The sequence below is a fragment of the Homo sapiens genome, chromosome 19 (genome assembly GCF_000001405.40).
Source record: "Homo sapiens chromosome 19, GRCh38.p14 Primary Assembly".
Classification (NCBI taxonomy): Eukaryota; Metazoa; Chordata; class Mammalia; order Primates; family Hominidae; genus Homo; species Homo sapiens.
Genome location: NC_000019.10, coordinates 35,695,607 through 35,704,534, shown reverse-complemented (window position 1 = coordinate 35,704,534; position 8,928 = coordinate 35,695,607). Strand labels below are relative to the sequence as shown.

At 51.4% G+C, this 8,928-nt stretch overlaps 1 annotated feature.

The window, feature by feature from the left end:
* Positions 2,198-2,437: an enhancer, noted in NCBI's record as "active region_14492". NCBI's record gives its function as "activates an Ori minimal core promoter by ATAC-STARR-seq in GM12878 lymphoblastoid cells {active_cell/tissue: GM12878}" and the evidence as "EXISTENCE:reporter gene assay evidence [ECO:0000049][PMID:35858748]".

Sequence of the window (8,928 nt, the reverse complement as noted above, 5' to 3'; positions counted from 1 at the left end):
GCGAGGCCAGGGACGCAACGCTCCCGCACGTGGTCACCCCTGGATCCTGAGGCGGACGCTGATTGGCTGCAGCGCGGGCCGCATTCTCCCGCTCAGGCCAGCTGAGCACGCTGGGCAGCCTGGGAGGCACCTAGGACAGCGCCACTCCCGCGCGTCTGCCTCGGACCCGCAGCTGATTGGCTGTGAAGGGGCAGAGCCTTGAGTCTCATTGGTCCATAGGCTTCAGGCCTCTTAGGCTGAGATTTCATTGATTTCCAGCCGGGCCCCAGCGTTGATCTGCTGTGGAGTCTGCCTTTTCCCACTCTCTCCACGAAGAGACTGGACCCTGATTCTCCTTCACCTGAACAGCCCTGGAGGCTCCCTCAGCAAGTGCTCAGGAGTACTACTGTCCTTTTTTTTTTTTTTTTTTTTGAGACAGAGTCTCGCTCTGTCGCCCAGGCTGGAGTGCAGTGGCGCGATCTCTGCTCACTGCAAGCTCCGACTCCCGGGCTCACACCATTCTCCTGCCTTAGCCTCCCAAGTAGCTGGGACTACAGGCGCCCGCCATCACGCCCGGCTAATTTTTTGTACATTTAGTAGAGATGGGGTTTCACCATGTTAGCCAGGATGGTCTCGATCTCCTGACCTCGTGATCCACTCGCCTCGGCCTCCCAAAGTGCTGGGATTACAGGCGTGAGCCACCACGCCCGGCTTTTTAAAAAATTATTATTTCATTTTTATTTTATGAACGGGGTCTCCCTCTGTTGCCGGTGCTGGGGTGCAATGGTGCAATCATAGCTCACTGCAGCCTCGAACTCCTGGGCTCAAGCAATCCTTCCACCTGGGCCTCCCAAAATTCTGGAACTACAGCCGTGAGACACCGTGCCTGACCTGCCTTTCTTGCTTCTATTTTGCCACCCTAAGTAGCTCCCATTTGCAAACCCTGTCACCTTTCTCTCAACCCTTTACCATCTGTGAGGTGTGTAGGGGGTGTGTAGGCTGCCGCCACACCTGATTGGCTGGGAGGCCCGTAAGAGCAAGCCAAGGCCAGGCACGGTGGCTCATGCCCGTAATCCCAGGGCTTTGAGAGGTCCAGGTGGTAGTAGGATCGCTTGAGCCCAGGAGGTCGAGGCTGCAGTGAGCTATGATCACACCACTGCACTGCAGCCTGGGCGACACAGTGAGGCCCTGTCTCTAATAAATAAATAAAAATAAAATAAAAGAGCCAGCCAGGCAGGGCACGGTGGCTCACGCCTGAAAACCCAGCACTTTGGGAGGCCGAGGAGGGCGGATCACCTGGGGTCAGGAGTTCGAGATCAGCATGACCAACATGGTGAAACCCCGTCTCTACTAAAAATACAAAAATTAGCTGAGCGTGGTGGCGGGCGCCTGTAATTCCAGCTACTCGGCAGGCTGAGGCAGGGGAATCGCTTGAACCCCGGGAGGCGGAGATTGCAGGGAGCCTATATCGCGCCACTGCACTCCAGCCTGGGAGACAGAGCGAGACGGCGTCTCAAAAAAAAAAAGAGCCAGCCAGGCTTCGGTGCCTGTGAACAGCTCCCTTTTCTCTCTTGTCCCACTCCACCACGATTGCTGGCACAGCTCACTCTGCCTCGCCTGGAAGCCTGGAAGTGTACAGGGACAGGAAAGACACAAGAGGGGGGCAGTGCCTTGCCCCGTGATTGGCAGCGTGACACTTGCACTTCCAATTCCCACTGCCACCTCGACTGTATGCTCAGCCAGGAGTAACTGCGCGCGGACGTGTCAGCACTCCCACCTCCAACCATACCGCAGAGGGAACGGCCGATTGCGCTGCCCCAACATTAACTGGCCCGGGGGTTAGACTCCCTCCAGCAGGGTTTCCCCCTGGGCAGGGCTTCGGGGCTAACAAGCTGCGAGCTCGCCCCTCGCCAGTCTCCCGAGGTGCTTGTCTGCGGGGCTTCTGGCCCGGCCCCCGCGGCGGTTGCACCGCTGATTGGCTGGCTCCGCTCCTTTCTAAGTGGCTTAGCCTGGGATTCGTTCTCAAGCATAGCCAATGAGACGCCAGGGCGCCTCAAGCAGGCGGGCATGACTCCACCGCTGTCGCTTCTGATTGGCCCTAAGGCTCGTCTTCGCTTTAGATTGACCAGAGAGCAGCGGGGCGGGAGCTTAGTTGAGCAGTTTCAGGCTGCGATGCGAGTTCGGTACCTTCCCGCTGCGCGGAGTGTTGTTGTGCGCGTCCTTCGCAGCCGCTCGCTGAGGAGCTGGAGTGGGGAGGAATGGGGGTGGTCAGGAGACAGGAGAGCACCTCGCGGAAGAGCCTGGGACAACAACCGGAGCTGTAGGTCCTGACCGAGACAGCCTGAGGCGTCCCTGGCCCCGATAGGGAGCGAAACCGCTAAAATGGGGGAAGGGGCCGGACGTGGTGGCTCACGCCTGTAATCCCAGCACTTTGGGAGGCTAAGGCGGGCAGATCACCTGAGGTCAGGAGTTCGAGACCAGCCTGACCAATATGGTGAAACCCCGTCTCTACTAAAAATACAAAAATTAGCCGGGCGTGGTGGGGGATGCCTGTAACCCCAGCTACTCGGGAGGCCCAGGCAGGTGAATTGCTTGAACCCGAGAGGCGGAAGTTACAGTGAGCGGAGATGGCGCCACTACGCTCCAGCCTGGGCGACAGAGCAAGACTCCATCTCAAAAAATAAAAATAAAAAATAAAGTAAAAAAGGGAGAAGGACTGGCACTGTGGTGGGAGTAATAGCACCTCGTGTTTACCGAGCCCTTTCCATGTGCCACGCTTGTGCATCAACTCGTTGAAACCTAAATAACCCCGTGAGGGAGGCGATTACTATGCCAGGTTAACCTCTGAGGGTCAAAGAGGTGAAGTCGTTTATTTAGGGTCCCGCAGCAGTTACGGGCATTGCTGGAACTCGAACCCTGCTGTGGTGAGAGCCCAACCTTCAAGCTACACTATGATTAAGTAGGATTGATTTTGTAGATGGGGATGGGGTCTGATCACATTGGCCCTGGTTTTGGGAAAATGGACTGACATGTACAAAAAGGTATTTTATTTATTTATTTATTTATTTATTTATTTTTGAGACAGAGTCTTGCTCTGTCGCCCAGGCTGGAGTGCAGTTGTGCGATCTCAGCTCTCTGCAATCTCCACCTCCCGGGGTTCAAGCCATCCTCCTGTCTCAGCCTCCCGAGTAGCTGGGATTACAGCCACCTGCCACCATGCCCGGCTAATTTTTGTATTTTTAGTAGAGACGGGGTTTCACCATGTTGGCCAGGCTGGTCTCGAACTCCTGACTTCAAGTGATCCTCCTGCCTCGGCCTCACATAGTGCTGGGATTACAGGCGTGAGCTACTGCACCTGGCCTAGAGAAAGGTATTTAAAAAATCAGTCTCATAATATCTTTGCTTTTTTTTTTTTTTTTGAGATAGGGTCTTGCTCTCTTGCCCAGGCTAGAGCACAGTGGCAGGATCATGGCTCACTGCAGCCTTGACCTCCTGGGGTCAAAGGATCCTCCCACATTAGCCTCCCAAGTCGCTGGGACTACAGGTGCACAACACCATGCATCACTAATTAATTAATTTATTATTTATTATTATTATTTTGTAGAGATGGTCTCACTATGTTGCTCAGGCTGGACTTAAACTCCTGGGCTCAAGGGATCCTCCTGCTTTGGACTCCCAAAGTACTGGGATTACAGGCACGAGCCACTGTGCCAGGCCCCAGACCAGTTTTAAGTGCTTTACCTACATCATCAGATTGACTCTTCATAGTAAACTCTATCGGATATTTACTGTTATTATTCTCATTTGACAGATACAAAAACTGAGGTTTGGCCTGGCACAGTGGCTCATGCCTGTAATCCCAGCACTTTGGGAGGATGAGGCGGGTGGATCCTTTGAGGCCAGGAGTTCGAGACCAGCCTGGCCAACATGGTGAAACCCTGTCTCTACTAAAAATACAAAAAAAATTAGCTGGGCATGGTGGCACATGCCTGTGATCCCAGCTACTGGGGAGGCTGAGGCAGGAGAATCACTTGAACCTGGCAGAGGTTGCAGTGAGCCGAGATCGCGCCACTGCACTCAAGCCTGGGCAACAGAGCAAGACTCCGTCTCAAACAAAACAAAACAAAAAAACAAAAACAGGTTCAGAGAAGAAACTGATTTTCCTAAGATCTCACTGGGAGTAATTGTCAGAGCTGGAATTTGAACTAGGCCTGTTGCAGTCTGACTCCAGAGCCTAAGCTCCTAAACATTTTTATACACTGCCTCCATCCTGCCAACTACAGTGACCACAGTGCAGACACACATGGTCCCAGGGAATCCCCAGCCACTATAGGAAACAGAATGACGCCAACACGCATTGGAATAGGCAGCCAAGGCTCACAGAGGTGAAGCTCCTCATCTCAGCTCACACAGCTAGTCCATGGCTGAGCAAGGAGTAGAATGATGCAAGACCTGAATCCAAGCCTGAGTTCTTCATCACACCTCACACTGTGTTTTTCCTATTTGAAAGATGAAGAAACGAGGCCGGGCATGATGGCTCACGCCTGTAATCCAATCACTTTGGGAGGCCAAGGCGGGTGGGTCATAAGGTCAGGAGTTCGAGACCAGCCTGACCAACGTGGTGAAACCCCATCTTTACCAAAAATACAAAAGTTATCTGGGCATGGTGGCGCATGCCTATAATCCCAGCTACTCAGGAGGCTGAGGTAGGAGAATCGCTTGAACCCGGGAGGCAGAGGTTGCAGTGAACTGAGATTGCGCCACTGCACTCCAGCCTGGGAGACACAGCAAGACTCCATCTCAAAAAAAAAAAAAAAAAAAAAACCGGCTGGGTGCTTGATGGCTCACACCTGTAATCCCAGCACTTTGGGAGGCCAAGGCGGGCGGATCCAGCTTCGGTTACTCCCTGAGGAGTAACCGAAGCTGGAATTCAGACCCAGATCTGCCTGACCCAGGAGATCACCCCTGAACCACATTACCTTCAGGAAGTGCTTGTCTGGTAGATCCTGGGTTGGATTGGTTGAGAAGTCCTCTCACTCAACAAGCCTTATTTACAGTTAGTTCATCTTGTCCCAACTTTGACCCTAAAGGTGGTTGGGAATATACTTTACAGCCTCAGAACCTTTGGAGTTTCTCACTGATTCTCACTGAGAAGCCCTAGTGATAATTGCTACAATTTTTTATTATTCATATTTTTTCCTTTTTTTTTTTTTTGAGACAGAGTCTTACTCTGTTGCCCAGGCTAGAGTGCAATGGCACGATCTCGGCTCACTGCAACCTCTGCCTCACAGGTTCAAGCGATTCTCCTGTCTCAGCCTCCCGAGTAGCTGGGATTACAGGCATGTGCCACCACACCTGGTTATTTTCTTTCTGTTTTAATAAGCTGGTCTACAATACAGGTTTCCTGTGTTTTGTTTTTTTAGAGATGGGGTCTTGCTGTGTTGCCCAGGCTGGAGTGCAGTGGCTATTCACAGGTGCGATCGTAGCACACTGTGGCCTCAAACTCCTAGCCTCGGCGATCCTCCTGCCTCAGCCTTCTGAGGAGCTGGGACTACAGGCACATGCCAACATGCCCAGCTAATTACTACAAATTATTGAATCCTTTTTATGGGCCAGGAAGGCATGAGAAGATGGAGTGAGGGACCCTGGGCTCTGGCAAGATGGTATAGGAAGGGTTGTTGGCTTGGCTTGGGGGGTTGGACTGTAAGATTTGGAGAGTTAAATGTCTGAAAGAAGTAGAAAAATAAATAAAAAGCCCCTGCCTTCAGTTGCTTATTGAGCAACTCCCCATGCCAGATCCTACACTAACTAAGCTTAACTGTACACTGAGAAGCAGAGAGCCTTGCAGCCTAGGTAGCTGAATGCTGGATCCAAACTGTCTGCATCATATCCTGGCCCTGTTATTTACTAGTTGTGAGACCTTTGGCAAATTGCTTAACCCCTCTGGGCCTTAATCTCTTCATCTGGGCATATTAAATGGTCATATCATAAATGGGCATATTAATAGTACATATTGGCCAGGCATGGTGGCTCACACCTGTAATTCCAGCACTTTGGGAAGCCGAGGTGGGCGGATCACCTGAGGTCAGGAGTTCGAGACCAGCTTGGCCGACATGGTGAATCCCTGTCTCTACTAAAAATACAAGCCTGTAATCCCAGCTACTCGGGAGGCTGAGGCGTGAGAATCGCTTGAACCCAGGTGGCAGAGGTTGCAGTGAGCTGAGATCATGCCACTGCACTCCAGCCAGGGCAACAGAGTGAGACTATGTCTCAAAAAAAAAAAAAAAAAAAAAAAAGGGCTGAGTGGCTGAGTGCAGTGGCTCATGCCTGTAATCCCAGCGCTTTGGGAGAACGAGGCAGGCAGATCACCTGAGGTCAAGAGTTCAAGACCAGCCTGGCCAACACGGTGAAACCCCATCTCTACTAAAAATACAAAAATTAGCTGGGTGTGGTGGCAGGCACCTGTAATCCCAGCTACTCGGGAGGCTGAGGCAGGAGGATCGCTTGAACCTGGGAGGGGGAGGTTGCAGTGAACTGAGATTGCACCACTGCACTCCAGCCTGGGTGACGGAGCGAGACGTCATCTCAAAAAAAAAAAAAAGGTACATACTCCCGGTCGTGGTAGCTCACATGTGTAATCCCAGCACTTTGGGAGGCTGAGGTGAGAGGATTGCTTGGACTCAGGAGTTCAAGACCAGGTTGTGCAACATGGCGAATCCCCATGGCTACAAAAAATACAAAAATTAGCCAGGTGTGGTGGCACACACTTGTAATCCCAACTACTGGGGAGGCTGAGGTAAGAGGATCACCTGAGCCCAGGAGGTAGAAGCTACAGTGAGCCATGATTGCAACACTGCACTCCAGCTTGGGTGACAGAGTGAGAACCTGTCTCAAAAAAAAAGAAAAAAAGTGTGTACCTCTCAAAGTCATTGAGGGGATTAAATGAACTAATAGAGCAGTGGTATTTCTTCTTCTTTTTTTTTTTGAGATGGAGTCTGCCCTCCAGGCTGGAGTGCAGTGGCGCGATCTCGGCTCACTGCAACCTCTGCCTCCTGGGTTCAAGCGATTTTCCTGCCTCAGCCTCCTGAGTAGCTGGGACTACAGGCGCGGGCCACCACGCCCAGCTAATTTTTGTATATTTAGTAGAGACGGGTTTTCGCCATGTTGGCCAGGATGGTCTCGATCTTTTGACCTTGTGATCCACCTACCTCGGCCTCCTAAAGTGCTGGGATTACAGGCGTGAGCCGAATAGTGGCATTTCTTCTGTTCCCCAATGCCCTGTAACCGAGTTGTTTCCTTGCAATCAGTGTCATCTGCCTTGGCTGTGGTGTAGACCCTGAAAATTAAGGGATCATGGGAAAGCCTGGGGGCAGTGTGTTCCCAGAAGCAGTAGCAAGCGCAAAAGCCCCAAGGCAGGAGTGAGCTTAGTATATCTGAGGTACAGCAGGAAGTCCACCTGGAGCCAGGCAGCTGACTAAGACTCAGGAGCTCAGCTCAACGGCACGAGTGTTCATAACAGATGTGAAAATAACCCTGTACCTTTCAGAGAACAAAGGACTTTCCCCAAGCTTTGATCTCTGGAAAAACCCCAGACCATGATTACATTTGAGGCTCAGTGTCCACAGTTGCACAGGAATGAAGCTTAGAATTCAGGTCTTCTAGCTCTCTAGGGCCCATGCGTCAAGGTCAAGAAACTTACTTTCACTCAAATATTTATTAAACTCCTGGCCAGGCGCAGTGGCTCACACCTGTAATCCCAGCACTTTGGGAGGCCAAGGTTGGCTAATCACTTGAGGTCAGGAGTTGGAGGCCAGCCTGGCCAGCATGGCAAAACCCCATCTCTACTAAAAATACAAAAATTAGCCGGGCATGGTGGCGGGCGCCTGTAATCCCAGCTACTCAGGAGGCTGAGGCACAAGAATCGCTTGAACCTAGGAGGCAGAGGTTGTAGTGAGCTGAGATTGGGTCACTGCACTCCAGCCTGGGTGACAAGAGCGAAACTCCATCTCAAAAAAACAAAACAAAAAATTCTGATGGTGCATGCCATTGGTGCTGAGCCCTGGGGAAGACCCAGCCCCTGCCTTCAAACATTTCACCTGCTAGAGAGGAATTAGACCTCAAAACATATTCTTCAAGAGCCAAGTGGAAAGTGTAGGAACTGAAGCTGAGAAGAGGCACTTAAGCTAAGGGGAGAAGGAGTGGAGAAGGGTGAGGGACAGCTTCCCACAGGAGGCGATGATGTTTGTGCATCTTTTTGGGGGTACTTACTATGTGCTAGGCATGGTGCTTGGTAGAAAGGACACAGTGGGAAGCAAAGAAGAGACTGAATGTAATGGTCTGCTAGGGCTGTGTAACAAAATATCACAGACTAGGGGGCTTAAACAACAGACATTTATTTCTCACAGTTCTGGAGACTGGAAGTCCAAAGTCAAGGTGCCAGCAGGGTTGGTTTGTCCTGAGGCATTTGTCCTTGGTTTGTAGAAGGCCACCTTTTCACTGTGACCTCATATGGCCTTCCCTCCGTGTGTGTGCACTCCTGGTGTCTCTTTCTATAAGGACATCAGGGATCAGGGCCCCACCCTTATGACCTCACTTAACCTAAGTTCCCTTCTTTATTTTCTTTTTCTTTATTTTATTTTATTTTTGAGACAGAGCCCTGTTTTGTCACCCAGGCTGCAGTGCAGTGGCAGGATCTTGGCTCGCTACAACCTCCATCTCCTGGGTTCAAATGATGCTGTTTTGGCCTTCCAAGTAGCTGGATTTAGAGGTGCCTGCCACCACGCCTATCTAAGTTTTGTATTTTTAGTGAAGGCCGGGTTTCACCATGTTGGCCAGGCTGCTCTCAAACTCCTGACCTCAAGTGATTTGCCTGCTTTGGCCTCCCAAAGTGCTGGGATTACAGGTGTGAGCCACTGTCCTGGCCAGTTTACTTTCTTAAAGTATCTGTCT